We start from the raw sequence: 25,711 nt of genomic DNA, 5'->3' as shown, positions 1-25,711 counted from the left end.
GCTTATCATCACTGGCCATCAGAGAAATGCAAATCAAAACCACAATGAGATACCAGCTCACACCAGTTAGAATGGCAATCATTCAAAAGTCAGGAAACAACAGGTGCTGGAGAGGATGTGGAGAAATAGGAACACTTTTACACTGTTGGTGGGACTGTAAACTAGTTCAACCATTGTGGAAGTCAGGGTGGCGATTCCTCAGGGATCTAGAACTGGAAATGCCATTTGACCCAGCCATCCCATTACTGGGTATATACCCAAAGGACTATAAATCATGCTGCTATAGAGACACGTGCACATGTATGTTTATTGTGGCATTATTCACAATAGCAAAGACTTGGAATCAACCCAAATGTCCAACAATGATAGACTGGATTAAGAAAATGTGGCACATTTACACCATGGAATACTATGCAGCCATAAAAAATGATGAGTTCATGTCCTTTGTAGGGACATGAATGAAATTGGAAATCATCATTCTCAGTAAACTATCGCAAGAACAAAAAACCGAACACCGCATATTCTCACTCATAGGTGGGAACTGAACAATGAGATCACATGGACACAGGAAGGGGAATATCACACTCTGGGGACTGTTGTGGGGTGGGGGGAGGCGGGAGGGATAGCATGGGGAGATATACCTAATGCTAGATGACGAGTTAGTGGGTGCAGCGCACCAGCATGGCACATGTATACATATGTAACTAACCTGCACAATGTGCACATGTACCCTAAAACTTAAAGTATAATTAAAAAAAAAAAAGACGTAAAAAAAAAAAAGATATTACATAAAAAAAAGAAAAAAAAACCTTTACTTGAATCAACTTTACTACATTTAATTACACAGATTAATATAACTTCCTTAAGCAGGAATACTACTGAACTGATTTATTTATTAAATCATATAGATAATATTTTAAAGTACTTCTGTAAAACTTTCAACAGTTCTTAAAAAAATTAATCAGGAATATCTGAGTCAGCAAGGGAATCATCTTTTCAGTTCAATGGTAAAACCCAAACTGCAACAGTTATATGTTTCCTGATATTCTTTGATGGCAGACTTGAATTTGCCTTGGTTTACAAAATATGTGGCTAATATAATCAGTACAGTAACATATAACACATGTAACTATAGCCATCAGAGACTTTGCTGTAAAAATGGTTGTAAAACCTACTGTATCCATTGCAGGGTATTTGTAGCAACCTTGGCAATGGAAAGTAGATTTACTGATCACAATAACAACAGTAAAAGATGCCACATTTCTCAACCTTTCTATTACTTTATAATAAAGTAACAGTAAAGTAATAGGGTGTGTGTGTGTATATATATATATATATATACACACACACACTTAGGTATATACTTTATATATTGAAGTACATATATATTTATATACTGGAATATAGAAATATAAATTTAAATAAATATTTCTATATATTTATATATTTATTGGAATATATATTTATACATTTAAGTATTTAAATAATCACAAGGAAAAGCAGTTATGTGAAAATTACGCACATAATTCACCACTTAATTGATTTCTAAAGTCCAGTGTATTATGGACAAATTTCTTGATAAAGCAATTTACAATTACATGAGAAGTAACAGAAAATCTGAATAGCTCTATGTATATTAAATAACTCTTCCCATCCAATAAAAAAGTCCCTTCACTTAACAGTTTCACTCATTTGTTCTATCAAATACTTAAGGAAGAAATAATGGCAGTGTTACACAGATTTTTTAAATACATAGATGCAAAGGGATCACTTCCCAACACATTTTATGAGAAACGCAAACCCTAATATCAAAACATGATAAAGATAATATAAAAGACACACACACACACATATATATATACACACACATATATATGTATATGTACATATAAACTCTATAAACTACAGACAAAAATACTTTAAGAAAACATTAGTGAATTGAACCCAACGATATATAGAAGGGTACCATGACAAAGAAGGATTTGTCTCAGGACTATTATGTTGGTTTAACATTCAAGAATCAATTAATGAAATTCACCATGTTTATTTACAGAAAGGAAAAAAACAATCACTTTCAGTACATGCAGAAAAAGTATATGATAAAATTCAACACTATTCATGATAAAAACTCTTAGCAATCTAGAAATAGTAAGAAATTTACTTATGCTAACAAGCAATATCAAAAAAACTGACAGCTAACCTACTTAATATTGGGGCAAGCCTTATCTGATATTTACTTCCTACAATGCTACAGCAATAAAAATAATTTGATATATTATATGCATATAATCCGGGATATCCAACTATTTTAAAATCCACCTATTAGCAATCTTAATTCCCTCTGCAATCTTTGGCCATCTTTGTCATGTAACTGAACAGATTTAAAGGATCTAAGAGATTAAGATGTAGGCATTATATAGCTGTTCTGGGAAATCCTTGGTCAAGTTCCTATTTCAATGACTAAAGAGATCTTATATCTCCACATAAGTATAGACTTTTTCTTCCAATTTACTTGGGGGAAAATGGTATTAAACATGAGTATCATTTTTTACTGAAGTGAGCCACAATAAGATCAGTGTGCAGCTTTCACACAAGAAAAGTTTAAAATGTTTAATGAATTGATAGTGTAATGCATGTTTAATCTCTAATATCAACATTAAAAAATCAGATCGAGTTCTGCCCATTGAATTAAAAAGTCAGATAGGGTCCTTCTTCAAATAAAGTAATGGTATTTGGAATGTATATCTCATTACCGAAAAAAATGTCTAAGCCACAGAAGGTAATAGGAATAAACACACCTCTTCTCACACCTCTTTAAAAATGCTGTTATGTGGTAGAAATGTGGCCACCTTCCCCAAATTACAGTCACCCGACCTCTGTGTTTTAGACTCTGAAAAAAATAGCACAGATGTCTAGAATTAGTGTGAGTGTAATTTAAATGATGTTTGATATTGTTTCAAGAAGAGAATAAAAGGAGAATAGAAAAACTGTATGACTATTCTTTGCTTCTTTATGCCCTGAAATATCCATCCTTATTGCTCATTTTAAAAGAGAAAAGTAAATCTGGCTTAGAGAAGAGCATTATTCCCGATTTAGTCAAAACCCAAAAATTGTGAATCCCAACTCCATATCTAAGACTCCTTCATTCTGCACTGTGGAGATATATATATATATATCTCCATATATATGTATGTGTATATATGATTGTTAAATGCCTGAGGCTGAGCATTTTGTCCATTTTTGTGCACTATTGTATACATCCCCAGAGCTTAGTAGAGTGCCTGGGGCACATGGTAGTTAATCAGTGCTTTTAATGAAAGAATGAATCTATCCAATTTGCTCTGCCCAGTAGGATATCATCTTATAGGCACCTTCAATTTCTCATCATTAAAACTGATTTCACATTATCTGACCCATAATTCTGCTCCCAGAAATTTACCCTGAAAATCCACCTCCAACAATACAAAAACACATTTGCACAGAGTTATTCCTTGCAGTACTATTTATAATTACAAAACAACTAAAAACTACCTAAATGTCAAACCATAGGTGATTGAATAAACCATGGTTATTATGCTATAGCCACTATTGAATAATATGCAGCTGTAAATATATATATATAATAATAGCCTCTATAGAGTAATATGTAACTCTATGTCATATATGTTCATATACATATGACATAGTAAATGGCATGACTTATAGCTACATATTACTCTATTGTGATTATAATACATACATATATGGCATGACTTATAGAAAATATCAAATACAACAAAAAAGTATAATACAGCATATATAGCATATTACATCTTATGTAAGAAATGAGGTAAACATAAGAAATACATGTTTCTGTCAACTTTTACCAAAAAAACTATAGGGAAGATAAACCAGAAAATAATGAAGTTGTTTGTCTTCAAAGGATGAGGTGGGAAGAATGGAGTAGAGAGTGGAAAGTATACAAGACAGACTAGAACTTTTGTGTGTGTCTGTATATTTTTGTGTGTGTTTAAGTTTCATGTATAGTATTAACTTTTGGAAGCATGTTAGTGTTTTCCTTATAAAATAAAATAAAAATAGGAAAGGAAGAAGAAACCTAAAACAGAAAGCAAACTAAAATAAATTAAATTATATTTCAAATGACTACTATGAGCACACTGAAGAGGAGTGTGGGAAAGAACTAAGCCAAATTATTTATGAACACAGTATCTGACTATATATCCTTAGTACTGGACATGATGGGACAGTGAGGAGAAAACTGCAAACTTTCATTTTTTTTTAGAAAGTTTTTTTTAAGCAAAGCAATTCTTTAATAGGCAAAGAAACTCAGAAACTAATTCAGTTTTATTATAAGACTGAACCAATTAGTAAAAGTATTGAAGCCAGAGATCTCATGACAGTAGAAAAACACAACTATGGAAAGGAAGCAGGCAAAAAAGAACCCAGGAGAGATAAACTGGAATGGGAAGTGTGAAGTGATAATATCTAAAGTACACATATATGTGTGTATAGCAAGCACATGGACACAGGTGTATTTATGTATTATATACATAAATACATACATTTAATGGAACTGTGTGCTGAAAGGCCCAGAAACAAAGTCAACCCAGTTGCAAAGAGTTTACCTAGTGCCCATTCAAAGAAACCAGGGCTCTATGGAGAAATGCCTGATTTCAAGGCTGAATCCAAAAGAGTCTAGAACATCTGATGAGGCTGGAAAGTAAGGAGGCACTTAAAAAACATGGGACCGAGTTACAAGGACAGAAACCATTTTGAAGACGCTCCCACTGACCACATCTGGGACAACATGTGCACTAAAATAAGTACAGCAATGAATTATGAACCTTTGAAAAAGAGAAAATCATCATTACATATTGATGATAGATAGACAAGGAAGAAGGGAAGGTTTTTACTTATAGGAGAATGTCAATGCTGACTGGTAAACAGAAAACAAATAATGAAGTTTGAAAATAATTATGTTCTAACTTTCATAACGAAGATTAGATCAGGCAAGAATTGTGATGAACAGATGTTAAACATAGGGAGAAATTTAGATGAGAAATATGATATTTTCATGATTGTAAAATGTTTCCTTATTAGTTATGGAGGGGAAAAGTCATTAACACAGTGGAGAAATTAAGGAAAACCTTAAACAGGTGCATAAAAATTATCACTGCTAATGAAGTACAAGTGGACATCTGTGTTTCCAGATATGATACTTTTAGGAGAGAGCATTAACTAAGTAGTATTTCAACTAAGAATGAAGAACCTGAATCTAATTATGAGGAAACATCAGAACATCAGATAAATACAAAATGAGAGGGATGAATTCTTCTGTATACATATTATGAGAGAAAAAAAGATCAAGAGAATAAGATAAAATGCTAATAACTAGTAAATCTGGAAAACAAGTATAGAATATTTTGTACTGTTTTTATTCTTGTAAACTTTCTGTAAGTTTAAAATTATTTCCAGACAAAAATAATTTTTAAAAAAGTAACGCATGAATATATGCTCCTCGAAGAAAAAAATCAGATAGATATAGAAGGAAAACTGAAGATGAAAAATAAACTGTTAACCTCTCTAACTCATCTTTTCCCCACTGGCAGTCAAACTTCACAAAGTCAGATTTTTTTGTTTTGTTTTGTTTTGTTCTGCTCTCTAATGTATCTCAAACACATAGACCAGTGCTTGGCAAATAGATAGCTGCTACATCATTCATTTGTTAGATAAATTAATGAATAGGTAAATAGTAATGTGCTGTTCCTGTCACTTTATTTAGATATATATTAAAGAAGTTTTGCCTTATTTATTAAGTAAATTGGGTCAGATTACTAAATAACTCAAGATGATTTCATTCTTATCCCTGAAACATGCTTTACCATTATTATAACCAATTCTTGTTCTTTCACTTTCGAAACAGGACCTACATCTTGGTTAAGATGGTAATTAAGGAAGGTAATTAATACCTTCCAAAGCTGCTTAAATAATTCACTCCTCTCTGCCTTTCCTGCTGTAACTGTAATGCAAGTCATCCCATGCATTTGCACCATCTAACTACTTTTCTTCTTTGTCACCTTACTCTTTATCGTGGTCTCCTTCAACCCATGCAGTCAGGGTAATCTTCAAAACGTAACTTTGTAATCAAAGTTTCCCTTGTCTTAAAATTTTCAAAATGACTTTTTATGGTCTATAGAATTGATGATTAGCATAGATTACAACTGTTTCATGAACTTTTTATTTCTCCATCTTTACTGAGGTATAATTGGTAAATAAAAATTGGATATGCTTAAGGTGTTTACCTTAATGTTATGATGTTATGATGTGCATGATGTGCATATACTACGTGAAACAATCACTGCAATCATGCTAATCAACATATCCATCACCTCTTGAGATTAACATATTTTTGTGTGTATCAAGAACACTTAACATCTACCCTCCTAGCAAACTTAAAAGTATACACTACTGTATTGTATTGTTAACTATATTCACATTGCTGTACAAGTTATTCATCTTGCATAGCTTATTCATCTTGCATAAATGAACTTACTCATTTTGCATAACTAAAATTTTGGATCCCTTGACTAACATCTTCCTGTTTTCCCTTCTCTGCAGCCCCTGTTAACCCCTACTCTATTCACTACTATAAGCTTGACTATTTAGATTCCATATATAAGTGAGATAATGCAATATCTGTCTTTCTATGTTTGGATTGTTTCAAATAACATAAATTCCTCCATGTTCATCCATGTTGTTGCAAATGTCCAGATTTTCTTTTTTTTAAGGCTGAATAATATTCAATAGTATATCATACATGTAATTATATATATTATATGTACATATATATATATATATATATATATATATATCATACTTTTCAAATTCATTTATCTGTTGATATGGTTTGGCTGTGCCCCCACCTAAATCTCATCTTGAATTGTAGCTCCCTTAATCCTCAGGTATCATGGAAGGAACCTGGTGGGAGGTAATTGAAACACAGGGGCAAGTTTTTCCCATGCTGTTCTTATGATATTGAATAAGTCTCATGAAATCTGATGGTTTTATAAAGGGTGGTTCCCCTACACATGCTCTCTTGCCTGCCATCATGTAAGATGTGCCTTTGCTCCTCCTTTGCCTACTGCCATGATTGTGAGGCCTCCCTAGCCATGCAGAATTGTGAGTCCATTAAACCTCTTTTTCTTTATAAATTACCCAGTCTCCGATATTTCTTCCAAGCAGTATGAAAACGGACTAATACATCTGTCAATGCACATTTAGGTTATTTCCACAGCTTGATTAATATGAATAATGCTGCAGTGAACATGGGAGTGCAGATCTCTCTATGTAATAATGGTTTCCTTTGGATATATATCCAGCAGCAAAACTGCTAAATCATAAGGTAATTATATTTTTAATTTATTGAGGAATTTCTGTACTGCTTTCCATAACAGCTGTGCCAACTTACATTCCCACCAACAGAGTACAGGGGTCATGTGCCCATTTTAAAATCAGATTATGTGAGATTTTTGGCTATTAACTTACATGCACTCCTTATAAATTTTGGATATTAACTCATATATATATGTATATACATATATGGTTTATAAATATTTTGTCCCATTATTAAAGTTCCTTTTCACTCTGATGATTATCTACTTGGCTGTGCAGAAGCATTTTAGTTTGATGCAACCTCATTTGTCTATGTGGATAGCACTGTCAAATGCTTTTTCTGTGTCTACTGAAATGATCTTGTGGCTTTTTTTCTTTCAACCTATTAATGTGTTCTATTGCATTGATTTGCATGTGTTGAAAGATATTTGCATTCCAGGGACAAATCCCACTTAATCATGGTGTATCATCATTTTAATATGCTGCTGAATTTGGGTAACTAGCATTTTATTGAGGACTTTTGTATCATGTTCATCAGGAGTATTGGCCTGCGGTTTGCTTTCCTTCGTCTGGCTTTGGTATCAGGATAACACTAGCCTCATAAAATGAGTTTTAAAGTGCTTCTTCTTCTATTTGTCAGAATAATTTGAGAAGGACGAGTATTAATTCTTCTTTAAATGTCTGGTATAATTTACCCATGAAGCCATATGGTCTTGGACATTTCTTTGTTGGAAGGTTTTGACTACTGATTCAATTTCCTTATTTGTTACTTGTCTGTTTGGACTTCGAATTTCTTTTTGATTCAAGTTTCATAGATTGTATGTTTCTAGGAATTTATCTATTTTTCTAGGTTATCAAATTTGTTGGCATATAATTGTTCATAGTAGTCTCATGTCTTCTTTAATTTCTGAGGTACCCATTGTAATTTCTTCTCTTTTATTTCTGATTTTATTTATTTGAGCCTTTTCTTTTTTGCTTAGTCTAGCTAATGGTTTATTGATTTTATCTTTTCTATACGCAAAATCTTAATTTTATTGATTTTTCTCATTGTCTTTTTCAACTCTATTTAATGTATTTCTATTATAATCTTAATTATTTCCCTCGTTCTGCTAATTTTAGGCTTAGGCTTAAAGTGTTTTTCTTTTGCCACTTTCTGAAAGGGTAAAGCTAGGTTGTTTATTTGAAGTCTTTCTTCTTTCATAGCATAAGCATTTATTGCTATAAACTTCTCTCCTAGCAATGCTTTTGCTGCATCCCATAAGTTTTGTTATGCCATTTTTTTTTTGTCTCAAAATAGCTCTTAAAATTCCCTTTGATTTCCTATTTGACCCAATAATTGCTCAAGAGTGTGTTGTTCAGTGTATTAGTCCATTCTTTCATTGCTATAAAGACATACCTGAGACTGGGTAATTTATAAAGAAAAGAGGTTTAATTGGCTCGTGGTTCTGCAGACTATACAAGCATGGTGCTGACATCTGCTTGGCTTCTGAGCATATATCAGGGAGCTTTTACTCATGGTGCAAGGTGAAATGGGATCAGGTACTTCAAACGGCAAATATAGGAGCAAGGAGGAGCAGGTGCTACACACTTAAAACAACCACATTTTGCAAGAACTCACTATCACAAGGACAGCACCAAGCCATGAGGGATCAGTCCCCATGACCCAAACATCTCTGACCAGGCTTCAATTTCAGCATGGAGGGTTACAATTGACATGAGATTTGGCCTGGAGGTTTATTCAAACTATATCGTTTAGTTTCCACATATTTATAATTTTTCCTGTTTTCCTGCTGTTATTGATTTCTATTTCTATTCCATGGAGGTTGGAAAAGACACTTGGAATAATTTCAATCTTCTTAAAGTTGTTAAGACTTGTTTTGTGACCTAAGATGATTTATCTCAGAGTGCATCCCATGGGCACTTGAGAAGAATGTGAATTCTTCTGCTGTTGGGTGCAAAGTTCTGTATATGTCTGTCAGGTCCACTGGTCTACAGTGTTGTTTAAGTCAGAGGTTTCTTTATTGATTTTCTGTCTAGATAGTCTATTCATTATTGTAAGTGGGATATTAAAGTCCCATAAATTATTTTATGGCTGTCAATTTCCTACTTCAGATCTGTCAATATTTGCTTTATAATTTAGGTGCTCTGATAGAGTCATACTAATTGTCATATCTTCCTGGTGAATTGACTCCTTTACTATGTAATGATCTTTTTTTTTTTTGTCTCAAGAGATAGTTTTTGACTTAAAATCTAATTTGTCTGATATAAATTTAGCAACCCCTGCTTTGTTTTGGTTACCATTTGCATGGAATATCAGTTTCTGTCCCTTTTCTTTCATCTTATATGCGTCTTTAATTGAAAGTGAGTGCCTGAAGAACAGATGCAATTGTTTTGTTCATGTTTGCCTATTCAGGCTGTAATACTATTAAAATGTATAATTCATGAACATATTTGTATTAAATGAACAAATTATCAGCATTACTAAAAGTTCCTTTGTGTGTGTGCATATATATAAACAGCTTAGATAGATAGATGGATAGACATATATAGATATAAATATAGATATACAGGACTTAGTAGTCCAATTTTTGTTGAGTCATCTTCTTTTCTGTAATCCTAAGATTTCTGTTTTCTTTGCATTTGTACCTGACTCTGGACTCTAATTCTCCTTCACCCAAGTAATCCCTCTGGATTCCAAGATGTCTTTCCTTATTAGGTTGAATCTTTGTTGGCTTTTTTCCCCATTCTATTTACATTGGCATTTATTCTATACTCATGTCATTTTATTTATCTAAACCTCTTAGGAAAGGTCTTAACACTTACTGAGAATAGATCTCAGTATATATATTACAGCTACATGATCAGACCATAAACAATTAGTCCCCCAATTCTGCAAGGCAGCACTATTTACAAACACTAGAACCCAAACTAAAAAGAAAATATCTTCAGAATACAAAAAGGAAATTAAATTTAATAAGTATTTCTCTCTCACACACACACACACAAACACACACGCACACAAACACACATGCACACACACACCCAAGTTAATACATATTGCAAGAATGAAGAAGTTAATGGGTCCTAGGCTTAATAACTGGGTGATGAAATAATCTGTACGACAAAACCACATGACACAAGTTTACCTATGTAACGACCCTGCACTTGTACCCCTGAACTTAAAATAAAAGATAAAAACAGAAGAATAAATTAAAAAAAATATTTTGAGATGGTATTCTATTGTTTGTATCTATTTGAGCAAAACAACGTGAATGTGAGCTATGGGGTAGATAGCAAAAAGAACTTCAGTAAACAGAACTGAAGAAACTGTGTTGGAATATAAGCTGTTAAATGAAAGTCTACTTTACTTCTTCAGTTTACTTGGCAAGGACTTGCTTCCTGATTCATGGAATTAAACTACTGGAATACTTACCTTCGAGGATGATTGGCATCAAACAACGTGTTGTCATCATCCTCATCATCCTGTTCTAAAGGTGTCAATTCCATATTTTCTATGTTAGTGTCCAAAACTCCATATCTCCTAGTCTTTCGGTTTCTTCTTCTCATCCTATCAAATAGAACAAATTAATGAATAAAAATTATTTAATATGGCATAGTTTATATTTATTTATAAAATAAATTATTATTCTGTTTCTGACATAGCAAACAATATCAGAATGGTTACATTTCAGATATGCAACAAATTTACCACCTAGGATTAAACTTCATGAAACAAAACCTACTCCTACATGTTTATGTGCCATCGCCTGTTTCTTCTGTCTGACATACTCTCTTCTCTCTGTGTCAACTGATGGTGTTGACAAATAACTTTTAAGCCTTAAATTCAGGTACCGTACTTTAAACCTTAATTTTTAAAGGCTTAGGTCAGGTACTTCTTTACTGAAACCTCCTGCTCCAGCCTTTTCCCCATGTCCTCCCCGCTTTCTTACCACTGTTTAGATGCCCCTCTAAGAAACTGTATGTATATGCATATTCACAGACTAAACTGATAGCCCACAACTCTAGCTGCACACTAGAATTACCTGGGAGTATTTTTTAAAGTCCCATGTTTAGGACATAACTGAATCAAAATGTACAGCAAAAAAGAACTAAATATGAATATTTTGTTGAGGTTCTAAATGTGATTCCAATGTGATATAAACCATTATCTGAGATCAGTGGTTCTTGCAGTGTGGTTCTCTGGATCAGCAGAATCACAGTCACCTAGGAAGTTACGAGAAATGCAAATCTTCATGGCTAGCCCAGACCTAGTGAATAACAAACTTTGAAGATGGGGCCCAGAAACCTGTCTTTTAACAAACATTTCTTATGCTTTTGATGCATATTCAAGTTTGAGAACCACTGGCTTAGAGAAATTCAAAAGATTCAAGGGTGCTTAACATTCATTATTAGCCATATGAATGAAATCTCAAGATTTAGAGTCCTACTTCCAGTTTGTGTCTCAAATAACTTGTTCTTTTCCTTCAAATCATTTACCTTAATTTGCATTCCTATGTGCTGATGTATATGTTTATGTGGGGTTTATTCATCTGTCTCTCCCACTAAGTTCTCTGAGGGCAGCAACCAAGACTGCTTTATTCACCACTACATAACCACTTCCTAGCACAGTGATGTATCAATTAAGATGTTCTTCAATTAATTGTTGAGGGTCTGAGTGACTTCTACTTTGGCGACCAAAACTGTGACCCTGCAAGGAATGCCTAAGTCATCTCCAATGCAACAACTTCAACTCCACAGACAGCAAAATGTGTTTCACAAGAGTGTCCACTGGAGTTTGAAAATAAATAGAAAATATTTCAGCAAGTTATCACAAATAAAATCAGTTTACATAAATTCTGATTTACTCTGTTTGACATATGTGGGATAAGAAATACTTGGGCTATAACATCAACTGTAAAGAGCAACATGAGACTCCTCAAACATGACAGTGAAGCTCCTGGAAAACAAACATACCTTCAACAAATAATTGAGTCTTATTAAGCATCAGGTATGATATTAGCACCTGGGTGTAAAGTGCCTGGTCTCAGTGTTAAAATTTACAAAATGTTACTAAGTGTGAGTACAAACAAAGAAAATTTCCACCAGTCATTACCTATAGAGCTATCTATATACACGTCTAAAGTGATGGAACAGGAAACAGAGAGTTAAGCATAGCATTTAAAGTTACAAATGTAACCAATGAAAGGGTCAGTAAATATTAGTACTAGCAAAAATGAAGCAGTATGAAATACAAAGTACTCTTTCTTTCACAGTGAGAAATTAAGTATGTTTAGGTTGTTACATTAACATGTATATGTGTGTGTATGTGTGCAAACACACCCACACACACCATGTAGACCAGAGGTCTAAACTTTCTCTATAAAAAACCCAGGCAAACAGGGTCTGGAGTGGACCTCCAGCAAACTCCAATAGACCTGCAGCTGAGGGTCCTGACTGTTAGAAAGAAAGCTAACAAACAGAAAGGACATCCACACCAAAACCCCATCTGTACGTCACCATCATCAAAGACCAAAGGTAGATAAAACCACAAAGATGGGGAAAAAACAGAGCAGAAAAACTGGAAACTCTAAAAATCAGAGTGCCTCTCCTCCTCCAAAGGAACGCAGCTCCTCACCAGCAACGGAACAAAGCTGGAAGGAGAATGACTTTGACGAGTTGAGAGAAGAAGGCTTCAGACGATCAAACTACTCCGAGCTAAAGGAGGAAGTTCGAACCCATGGCAAAGAAGTTAAAAACCTTGAAAAAAAATTAGACAAATGGCTAACTAGAATAACCAATGCAAAGAAGTCCTTAAAGGACCTGATGAAGCTGAAAACCATGGCAAGAGAACTACATGACGAATGCACAAGCCTCAGTAGCCAATGCGAACAACTGGAAGAAAGGGTATCAGTGATGGAAGATCAAATGAATGACATGAAGTGACAAGAGAATTTTAGAGAAAAAAGAATAAAAAGAAACGAACAAAGCCTCCAAGAAATATGGGACTATGTGAAAAGACCAACTCTACGTCTGATTGGTGTACCTGAAAGTGATGGGGAGGATGGAACCAAGTTGGAAAATACTCTGCAGGATATTATCCAGGAGAACTTCCCTGGATAGGGAAGTTCTAGCAAGGCAGGCCAACATTCAAATTCAGGAAATACAGAGAACGCCACAAAGATACTCCTCGAGAAGAGCAACTCCAAGACACATAACTGCCAGATTCACCAAAGTTGAAATGAAGGAAAAAATGTTAAGCACAGCCAGAGAAAACGGTCGGGTTACCCACAAAGGGAAGCCCATCAGACTAACAGCTGATCTCTTGGCAGAAACTCTACAAGCCAGAAGATAGTGGGGGCCAATATTCAACATTCTTAAAGAAAAGAATTTTCAACCACGAATTTCATATCCAGCCAAACTAAGCTTCATAAATGAAGGAGAAATAAAATACTTTACAGACAAGCAAATGCTGAGAGATTTTGTCACCATCAGGCCTGCCCTAAATGAGCTCCTGAAGGAAGCACTAAACATGGAAAGGAACAATTGGTACCAGCCCCTGCAAAAACATGCTAAACTGTAAAGACCCTCGAGGCTAGGAAGAAAGTGCATCAACTAAGGAGCAGAATAACCAGCTAACATCATAATGACAGGATCAAATTCACACATCACAATATTAACCTTAAATGTAAATGGGCTAAATGCTCCAATTAAAAGACACAGACTGGCAAATTGGATAAAGAGTCAAGACCCATCAGTGTGCTGTATTCAGGAAACCCATCTCACATGCAGAGAAACACATAGGCTCAAAATAAAGGGATGGAGGAAGATCTACCAAGCAAATGGAAAACAAAAAAGGCAGGGGTTGCAATCCTAGTCTCTGATAAAACAGACTTTAAACCAACAAAGATCAAAAGAGACAAAGAAGGCCATTACATAATGGTAAAGGGATCAATTCAACAAGAAGAGCTAACTATCCTAAATATATATGCACCCAATACAGGACCACCCAGATTCATAAAGCAAGTCCTTAGAGAACTACAAAGAGACCTAGACTCCCACACAATAATAATGGGAGACTTTAATACCCCACTGTCAACATTAGACAGATCAACCAGACAGAAAGTTAAAAAGGATATCCAGGAACTGAACTCAGCTCTGCACCAGGCGGACCTAATAGACATCTACAGAACTCTCCACCCCAAATCAACAGAATATACATTCTTTTCAGCAGCACACCACACCTATTCCAAAACTGACCACATAGTTGGAAGTAAAGCACTCCTCAGCAAATGTAAAAGAACAGAAATTATAACAAACTGTATCTCAGACCACAGTGCAATCAAACTAGAACTCAGGAATAAGAAACTCACTCAAAACCACTCAACTACATGGAAACTGAACAACCTGCTCCTGAATGACTACTGGGTACATAACGAAATGAAGGCAGAAATAAAGATGTTCTTTGAAACCAGCAAGAACAAAGGCACAACATACCAGAATCTCTGGGACACATTCAAAGCAGTGTGTAGAGGGAAATTTATAGCACTAAATGCCCACAAGAGAAAGCAGGAAAGATCTAAAATTGACACGCTAACATCACAATTAAAAGAACTAGAGAAGCAAGAGTAAACACATTCAAAAGCTAGCAGAAGGCAAGAAATAACTAAGATCAGAGCAGAACTGAAGGAAATAGAGACATAAAAAACCCTTCAAAAAATCAATGAATCCAGTAGCTGGTTTTTTGAAAAGATCAACAAAATTGATAGACTGCTAGCAAGACTAATAAAGAAAAAAAGAGAGAAGAATCAAACAGATGCAATAAAAAATGATAAAGGGGATATGACCACCGATCCCATGGCAATACAAACTACCATCAGATAATACTATAAACACCTCTACACAAATAAACTAGAAAATCTAGAAGAAATTGATAAATTCCTCGACACATACACCCTCCCAAGACTAAACCAGGAAGAAGTTGAATCTCTGAATAGACCAATAACAGGCTCTGAAATTGAGGCAATAATTAATAGCCTATCAACCAAAAAAGAGTCCAGGACCAGATGGATTCACAGCCGAATTCTACCAGAGGTACAAGGAGGAGCTGATACCATTCCTTCTGAAACTATTCCAATCAATAGAAAAAGAGGGAATCCTCCCTAACTCATTTTATGAGGCCAGCATCGTCCTGATACCAAAGCCTGGCAGAGACACAACAAAAAAAGAGAATTTTAGACCAATATCCCTGATGAACATCAATGCAAAAATCCTCAATAAAATACTGGCAAACCGAATCCAGCAGCACATCAAAAAGCTTATCCACCAAGATCAAGTGGGCTTCATCCCTGCGATGCAAGGCTGGTTCAACATACGCAAATCAATAAACTTAATCCAACATGTACCAATGACAGAAACCACATGATTATCTCAATAGATGCAGAAAAGGCCTTTGACAAAATTCAACAACGCTTCATGCTGAAAACTCTCAATAAATTAGGTACTGATGGGACGTTTCTCAAAATAATAAGAGTTATCTATGACAAACCCACAGCTGATATCATACTGAATGGGCAAAAACTGGAAGCATTCCCTTTGAAAACTGGCACAAGACAGGGATGCCCTCTCTCACCACTCCTATTCAACATAGTGTTGGAAGTTCTGGTCAGGGCAATCAGGCAGGAGAAAGAAATAAAGGGTATTCAATTAGGCAAAGAGGAAGTCAAATTGCCCCTGTTTGCAGATGACATGATTGTATATCTAGAAAACCCCATCGTCTCAGCCCAAAGTCTCCTTAAGCTGATAGGCAACTTCAGCAAAGTCTCAGGAAACAAAATCAGTGTGCAAAAATCACAAGCATTGTTCTACATCAATAACAGACAAACGGACAGCCAAATCATGAGTGAACTTCCATTCACAATTGCTTCAAAGAGAATAAAATACCTAGGAATCTAACTTACAAGGGACGTGAAGGACCTCTTCAAGGAGAACTACAAACCACTGCTCAATGAAATAAAAGAGGATACAAAGAAATGGAAGAACATTCCATGCTCATGGGTAGGAAGAATCAATATCGTGAAAATGGCCATACTGCCTAAGGTAATTTATAGATTCAATGCCATCCCCATCAAGCTACCAATGACTTTCTTCATAGAACTGGAAAAAACTACTTTAAAGTTCATATGGAACCAAAAAAGAGCCCACATCGCCAAGTCAATCCTAAGCCAAAAGAAGAAAGCTGGAGGCATCATGCTACCTGACTTCAAACTATACTACAAGGCTACAGTAACCAAAACAGCATGGTACTGATACCAAAACAGAGATATAGACCAATGGAACAGAACAGAGCCCTCAGAAATAATGCCACATATCTACAACCATCTGATCTTTGACAAACCTGACAAAAACAAGAAATGGGGAAAGGATCCCTATTTAATAAATGGTGCTGGGAAAACTGGCTAGCCATATGTAGAGAGCTGAAACTGGATCCCTTCCTTACACCTTATACAAAAATTAATTCAAGATGGATTAAGGACTTAAATGTTAGACCTAAAACCATAAAAACCCTAGAAGAAAACCTAGGCAATACCATTCAGGACATAGGCACCGACAAGGACTTCATGTCGAAAACACCAAAAGCAATGGCAACAAAAGCCAAAATTGACAAATGGGATCCAATTAAACTAAAGAGCTTCTGCACAGCAAAAGAAACTACCATCAGAGTGAACAGGCAACCTATAGAATGGGAGAAAATTTTTGCAATCTACTCATCTGACAAAGGGCTAATATCTAGAATCCACAATGAACTCAAAAGAAAAAAACTCAAAGAAAACTCAAAGAAAAAAACAACCCCATCAAAAACTGGGCAAATGATATGAACAGACACTTCTCAAAAGAAGACATTTATGCAGCCAACACACACACATGAAAAAATGCTCACCATCACTGGCCATCAGAGAAATGCAAATCAAAACCACAATGAGATACCATCTCACACCAGTTAGAATGGCGATCATTCAAAAGTCAGGAAACAACAGGTGCTAGAGAGGATGTGGAGAAATAGGAACACTTTTACACTGTTGGTGGGACTGTAAACTAGTTCAACCGTTGTGGAAGTCAGTGTGGCGATTCCTCAGGGATCTAGAACTAGAAATACCATTTGACCCAGCCATCCCGTTACTGGGTATATACCCAAAGGACTATAAAACATGCTGCTATAAAGACACACACACACGTATGTTTATTGCGACACTATTCACAATAGCAAAGACTTGGAACCAACCCAAATGTCCAACAATGATAGACTGGATTAAGAAAATGTGGCACATATACACCATGGAATACTATGCACCCATAAAAAATGATGAGTTCATGTCCTTTGTAGGGACATGGATGAAGCTGGAAACCATCATTCTCAGCAAACTGTCGCAAGGACAAAAAACCAAACACCGCATGTTCTCACTCATAGCTGGGAATTGAACAATGAGAACACATGGACACAGGAAGGGGAACATCACACACCGGGGCCTGTTGTGGGGTGGGGGTAGGGGGGAGGGATAGCATTAGGAGATATACCTAATGTTAAATGACGAGTTAATGGGTACAGCACACCAACATGGCACATGTATACATATGTAACAAACCTGCATGTTGTGCACATGTACCCTAAAACTTAAAGTATAATTAAAAAAAAAGAAGCTACGCAACCCATCCAAAATTTAAAAAAAAATTAGATAGTATTTTATGCTCTGTAGGACACACTCTGCGACATATTCATTTAAATTTTCATTTTGTTTACCACCCTTAAAAATATATAGATGGATGATTGATAGATAGATAGATAGACAGATAGATAAACCATTCTTAGCTTTAGGCCTTACAAAAACATCAGAAGAAGGAATTTGGCCTGTGGGCCATACTTTGCTAACCTCTGATTTAGACTTATGAAAGTAATTAGCAAACAAAGAAAAGAAATAATAAATGTATTGTCTTTAGAAAGTAGAAATAGAAAAATAGTCCAGGCGTGGTTACTCACACCTGTAATCCCAACACTTTGGGAGGCTGAGGCGGGCAGATCATCAGGAGTTTGTGACAAGCCTGGCCAGCATGGTGAAATCCTGTCTCTAGTAAAAATACAAAAATTAGCTAGGCATGGTGGTGTGCGCCTGTAATCCCAGCTACTCGGGAAGCTAAAGCAGGAGAATGGCTTGAACCTGGGAGGCAGAGGCTGCAGTGAGCTGAGATGAAGCCACTGCACTCCAGCCTGGGCGACAGAGTGAAGACTCTGTCTCAAAAAAAAAAAAAAAAAAAAAAAGATAGAAAAATAGAGGGAAGTTAGTTTACTATTGGTGCTTTTGAAACATATCATTTAATGATATCTGCATGCAATTGTTTGATTTTAAAAAGTGATTACATAAGAGTGAGTGAAACTAGTTGGAAATATAAGTTAAGGATATTGAAAGTTATAATTTCTCTTTCCTTTTGTCAGTCTTTTGCTCAGTTTTTGAAACCATATGGATTCCAAACATTCTGACATTTTTAGTCAATGAAGTTAATGTCATGTGAAATTATTTTTGGAAATAAACTAGATTCTCCCGGGTCATATATATCAAATAGTCAATATGTTAACCTGTCATTGTTAGTCACAAGACATGTTGGCTAGTCTCAAAACAAACAAACAAAAATGATATGAATGTAGAGCTTAAGGACTTTAACATTCAGCTCATCTGATGTTCTTCTCTACATTCAAAGTCTTTAACGATTCCTAATCTTACAATGAGTGGTCAAACTAATTTGCCTAATAATACTATTTTCCCTATCTGTATATAGCCTAAACATTTGGCTGCATTGGTTTGAACATTTTATTCTTTATTCTATCCTTTAATTTACATGTGTATGTAAATACTATCTTCTAAAAATGAATCCAAACTCTTTAGAAACAGGAACCTATTTCATATATAAAAACAGAATGTTGTTAGGCATCAAATAAATGGGTGATGCAGTTCAAATCTAAATGAATTTACTGTTTTAGTATATGTACTGACTCATCCAAGAATGAGTAAAAAATGCTATATATTATTAAATAAAATTTAAACTAGAAGTGTAATTTCTCTAAAAATGTCTTTGCTCAGTCCAAAGTTATAGGCAGTGATAATTATGTGGTCATACAGCTACATGTCCACATAAAAACATCAACTATAATAAAACACACATGCTGTATTACTATATGGGGTGATTCATCTCAAGGAAGAAAAAAAGCAATTTCAAAGCTTTCAAATAACTTGGGTGATTCAACAAACACTACTGAAAATACTAACAAACATTAAGCATCAAATAAAATACACAATAAAACACACCAAAATTTTAAGTAAAAAGGCTACTTTGTCTTTTAATATGCATTGTGTATTATTTTTAAACAAAAGAAAAAGCAGAGCTTTAATATCTGTGCAATTTTAATAGCCAGAGTTCTTTTCTTACAAATGAATGTCATTAGGCTCATGACACTCAAACTCATCTATATGTGTGTTGACAATTACATATATATTATACACACACATGTAGATATAGACAAAGATATGCACTTTTCTACTAGACATAGTAAATGCATTTGGAAATATAGAAACAAATTTTGCCAGCTTCTAATGAAAATAAAAATAGAGACCTTATCTACAAATTTGTACAGAGGAAAGTATGGAAGCCTAAGCCGGCAAAAGAAAAAAGCTATATGGTTATTCATATAGAATTATATTCACTCATCACCTGGTATGCACAGATAAATGATCCTGGTCAGATGCTTTCTAGGTATTCAAGTTAATATTCAAATAGCTGCCTTAATATAGATGCAGATTCCTTAATGTTCCAATACACTCAGGTTAGTAAGAACTATTTCTCTTCCAATAACATGTATATAAGTTAGAGTATCAAAATAAAACTAAACCACTAAAGTAAGCTTGATAAAATTTTATGTAGAAATATATGATACCACATAAAATAAACACAACAGAATAAAATTCCATTTAATTTCACTGCTCTATGAAAGGGAGAACACCAATCAATGTAACTTGCTGTAGCCTGATATATGCACCTGATTTAAGTTTGCTGTAATTTGCTGTATCTACCTGATTTGATTTTTTCTCTTCTTCTTTTTTTTTTAACTAAGCATCTGTAGGGTAATATTATTCCTTAATTTCTTTTATAGCACATTCAAAGCTAGACTGAGGAATATATTATTTACTATACACACACATATACACACTCCCCCATGTGGTTAGACATAACAATGAAACAGTGAATAATAATCTATAACTAAAATAAAATTTTTTTCTTGACTATTCTTAGAAAAAAGTAAACTAGTGACCAAGAATAAATGTGAAAATTTCTTTACTGCTGAAACATAAATGAATAAAAATTAGTGAACCACAATTGTAGTTGTCTATACTTTTCATCAGGAAGTCCAACCCAATTGAATATATGACACATAGTAAAAATTCTTTTGACCAATCTGACATCATTCTCATCTTTATTCCCCATTTCCACAACCCAATCCATCAGTTGTCACTTCCACTTCTTCAAGAATCAGATACTAATAAGGGATATGTCTGCATGTTACAGGTTGAACTGCGTCTTCCAAAAATTCATATGTTGAAGTCCTAATCCCCGGTACTGCAAAATGTGGCCTTATTTAGAAATAAGGTCTTTATAGAGGTAATCAAGTTAAAATGAGATCATTAAGGTAGGCCCTCATCCAATGTGACTGATGTCCTTATAAACAGGGAAATTTTGGAGACAGACACGCACACAGGCAGAACGCCATGTGAACATGAAAACATCATTAAAAAGATCAAGAGAGGCCCAGAACAGATCCTTCCCTCACAGACCTCAGAAGGAACCAGCCCTGCCAGTATCTTGATTTTGGATTTCTAGCCTCCAGAACTGTGAGACAATAAATTTCTGTTGTTTAAGCCAGCCCACTTGTACTTTTTTGCAACAGCTCTAACAAATTAATATAGAATACAAGAGAATTGTTAGGGAAGGGCCTGTGAAGGATAAAGAGAGAGAGGAAAGGGAAATTAAGGAGATCTTACAAAGGGTAATAGAGATCTGACACCTGTGAAAGAGTGGAAAGGAAGGATGACCAGCTAGAAAGAGCTGTAGCTTGCAGTGCAGTTCTGGAAGAGTCTTCACCAGGCCAGTGGCATGCCTGTAAGCAAAGGCTGCCCATTAGCGGAGTTCCCTGTTAGTCAGGATGGCCAGGCTCTGCTCCACTCAGTCATCGGCTAGGGACAAGTTTAGGGGTTATTGTCCTGGCATGAATGCTGTGATGGACCCAAATCTGTGACAGCAGGAAGATGTCAAGCCACTTTGCTTCCCGTAGCATGTTCTCTTGAATGGAGGTCTGATTAGTGTATCTCCATGGCTGCCACAATCACAAGGTATTATTGATTGTACTTCCTAAAAATAATTTAAATTCATTTATATTGCTTACCATACCACTGCTATCCTATCATCTCTTCCTCTGCTGACTAAAATAGCTTCCTAATTCACTATCTCTGCCTACTCCGGCTATCCATTAACCTTCCCTTCATTCTCTAAAACCTTCAATGGTTTCCTATTACTCAACATTAAGTAATCAGTCTATAATATATGGCCTACAAAGATGAGCACAGGATGGCTCATCTTTCATTTTTAGCCTCATCTTGTTCTTTGCTCCACATTCCACTCCAGGTTCTGAACTCCAGCCGCACAGCCTTCTCTCAGTTCCTCATGATGGCCATGCTTTCTCTGCCATTGGCCTCACAGTCTTCTCTCACCTACCACAATACTGCTGTGTGAATGCCTGCTCATCTTTCAGCTGTCAGCTTAAATATAACTTCCTCAGGAAACCCTTTTCTGTTCTACCTAACTAGGTCACAAACCTCTACTATTGGCTTCCACTGAAACTATATACATGTCCTTTAAAGTGCTTATGAAAAGTTCACTTGTATACTTATTTAAGTAACTATTTGTCATCCCTACCAGACATTTGATTCCATGAGAGCAGGAGCTGTATCTGTTCTTACTCACCACAGTAGCCACAGCACACAACTTCTGTCATAAAGTTGATGCCTGATAAATATTGCTAAACAAATTAATTGAGTAAAATATATAGATTGGCAATATATCTTCCATTTTCTCTGTATAAGAAAGATATCTAAATTTTTATATATAAATTATCACCCTTGGAATAAAACAAGCCTGAAAGAACATCATTTCCAGATACATACCACAACAAAATCTAAGGGAGCTAGCCAAATTTAAAATCGTAATATGGACCTCTGGAGGCAACAGCTTTCTGACTCAGGACAAAAAAATAAAGTACTGGAATATTTAAATATATTAAACATGTACTCACATCAGGAGCTCTAAGATTTCATTTAGGATGTTTTAGGCATGATCCAGGCAACTGTCATACTCTAACCCAACTAGAATCCCTAATATTTAGTTTGTATCCTATGCTGAGTTTTATTTTTGTCCTTTTGGTATGCAAATTTACCATATTCTAAAAACACAGTTTTCCTCATATACACTATGAATAACTGAAGTTTATCCTTTCAAAAGCCAAACTGGCTTTTTGTACTACTTTTAACTTCTCAGCATTCTATATAGAACTGTATTCAATGCTAAAGATATTCCTGCCATCCTATACAGAAGAAAATGAGATATTTTAAAAGTCTCTTTTTAACCTCTCAGGATCATTATAATTAGTGACTTTGATATAAACTCTCAGGAGCTATTAAAATGTATATGACTCCATGTTGAAGTTCGCAGATTATTGTAGTTTTGAATTCCTTTAGCATTTTTTCATATTTTTAAAAAAACCCTCTCTATTAGCTTGACAGTTATCCAGCTCTGCCCCTACCACAATCTCGACCACGTGCATCCTTAACTAGAAAGTTCCTTCAACGAGGTATACTGCTACTGCTGAATTCTAATGAAGTGTTTACTGCTAACACCCAAAGGTCAAAAAAAAAAAAAAAATCAAAAGCGTGTTCATGTATGTTCAGGACACTGCAACCTTGTTTTCCTTGATAGATACCTTTTCTCTCCCAACTCCTTGTAATTCAGTACATACAATCACTTCCTGTGATTATGTTTGTCTCCTGTTGAAGGCATGTTGGCAGACACCCCCAGGTAAAGTAAATCCTAAATCAACGTTATATAGTTTGGCTTTGAAGTATTCCATATGAAAGTATGTAACACATAGTTTCCTTGTCATATCTCCTCTTTGTCTTGACATGGATTTCTTTGTCTTCCCTTTTAGGACCTAAGGCTCAGGATGTGAGACTTGGTAATTCTTCTGACCTCCATTTCTAAAAGTTCAGCATGGATTTATTTCCCAATCAACCTTAAAGTTCTATCTACAGTTCAGTACCCCCAAGATTCATCCTTTGTAGCCTCTCACTGGTTCTATGACCAACCCTTTCAGAATTATCCTATAATCTCCTTTTATTCCCCTTACACTGACTCTATCTACAGCCCTGTCAGTTCTACCATCTTGCTGATTATAGCTTTAGCAGTTAGGTACCACAGAGGTATATACATAGATACATATACGTATATATAAATACAGAGAGAGATTTAAGTTATACATAATACAAATATACATATATTTATAATACATAACAATATTTGTATACATATTTAAAGCTTCTATTTCATAAGTGAGAAAATTAAAGTATAAAAATGAAAATAGTGATAGTATTAATAGTTTATGAGACAGAGGTATTAAAAACATTATAGTAAAACTCCTCAGATAAATTGTAATTTGAATTCTAGATGTAAAAGCATGCGATTATGAAGAGCTGATGTTCTGCGCATGCACATATGCCAGGCATTAAGCTAAACAACTCATAAATATTATCTGATTCTCATAACAATCCTATAGCTTAAGTACCTTCATTTCATCCACAGAAAGGCACAAAGTAGAGAAAATTAAATGTGGGACAGTGAATGGTAGAGCTAAGATTCATACACGAGTAAGCTGACTACTGAGTCTGAGTTTTAAAATATTGAGACAAATTGTATTCCTAATGAATCTAAGTAATTTTAATGAAGGTCAAAAAATTAGGTGAAAACAGCCTGCTAATCTTCAAAACAACTATCTCACATTATACCAAACTAGATAATTGTTTTAGTTGAGCCATATTTTCTAGTTCATCCTTATGTAGTAATAATAATAATAATAACTTGGCAGCTACTTGCATTAACAAGTACAATTATGTTGTTTTGATTAGTTGTTGTTCTGATGAATCTCTCTCTTAATTTTGATCACTGTAATAGAATCTGCTTTGTTTAGAGGCAACTTTCTTCTTCTGGCTTAACAGAACCATGATTTTGTTTAGAGAGCAATTGAGCCCAGCCCTAAGGAGTACATAATGGCCATAATAATTGATTCAAACCAATCATGAAAATATAATTTTCCTTTTGCCAGCCATTGTCTAGGAGTAAGCAGATGAAGCAGTTCGGACAAATGAGATAGAAGGGGATGTCTCTGTTAGTGGGGTTTCCAGGAAAGATTTTTCTCCCTGATTATAAAACAAAACAAAAGCATACAGAAGTCTTCCGTTCATAGTCCCTTCCCTCCTTCCTGCTTAAGATACTATTGAGTGAGAGCAGAATATTTAGAGCAGAGGCAGCCATCCTATAGAAAGGCAAGAGTGGAAAAATATGGAATTCTTAATAATCTCCCAAAGCCAGTGAACCAAACCTAGGCCTATTCATATACATGATAAGTAAATGACAAAAAAAAAATATTTCCTTGTGTTTAACTCACTTTTAATTGGATATTTTATTATTTATAGCTAAAAACCTCCTAAATGATAAGGACACTTAACATATTAGTTTCTCTGAGCCACACTGCTACTGTATATCATCTGGATGTATATACTCATAGTGATACCCTTTAAGAATCTTTCAGGCGGGTTCTATCAGCAATCCGTCCACTTTGAATAAACCAATCAAATGTTTCATCAGCAATTTTCAATCTAAAATAACATTGCCACCAAAAAGCTCACTAACTTTTCATAGCTTCATTTTATACTTGTTTTCTCAGCTTAGCACAGTTTTCCCATCTCCTTGCAGATCATCATATAATTTCCATCACATTCTCTCAGAGATTTGGCAGCCCAAATTGAAAAACATGACTGTTTTCAAACTGGGCTCTTCAGTGTCCTAGGTTTCTGTGGAGGTGTGGCCAATCAGTGCATTGTTGCTTTTAGTTAGTTTATATATTAGGATCCCACCATTAAAAATATGGAAATCTACATTGTTAAAACAATGTACA

At 35.0% G+C, this 25,711-nt stretch overlaps 1 protein-coding gene across 2 annotated transcripts in view; it reads right to left on the bottom strand.

Moving 5' to 3' along the window:
* FAM174A (family with sequence similarity 174 member A) overlaps positions 1-25,711 on the bottom strand; it is a 51,368-nt gene that overhangs the window by 13,728 nt on the left and 11,929 nt on the right. For both annotated transcript variants that reach the window (XM_006714600.2, NM_198507.3), the window contains exon 2: positions 10,826-10,960. In XM_006714600.2, the coding sequence (XP_006714663.1) occupies positions 10,826-10,960 (135 nt within the window). The remainder of the gene's footprint in view (positions 1-10,825; positions 10,961-25,711) is intronic.

This window comes from Homo sapiens, chromosome 5 (genome assembly GCF_000001405.40).
Source record: "Homo sapiens chromosome 5, GRCh38.p14 Primary Assembly".
NCBI classification, from domain to species: Eukaryota; Metazoa; Chordata; class Mammalia; order Primates; family Hominidae; genus Homo; species Homo sapiens.
Note: the sequence above shows the minus strand (reverse complement) of the source record. Positions and strands in the feature narration are given on the sequence as shown.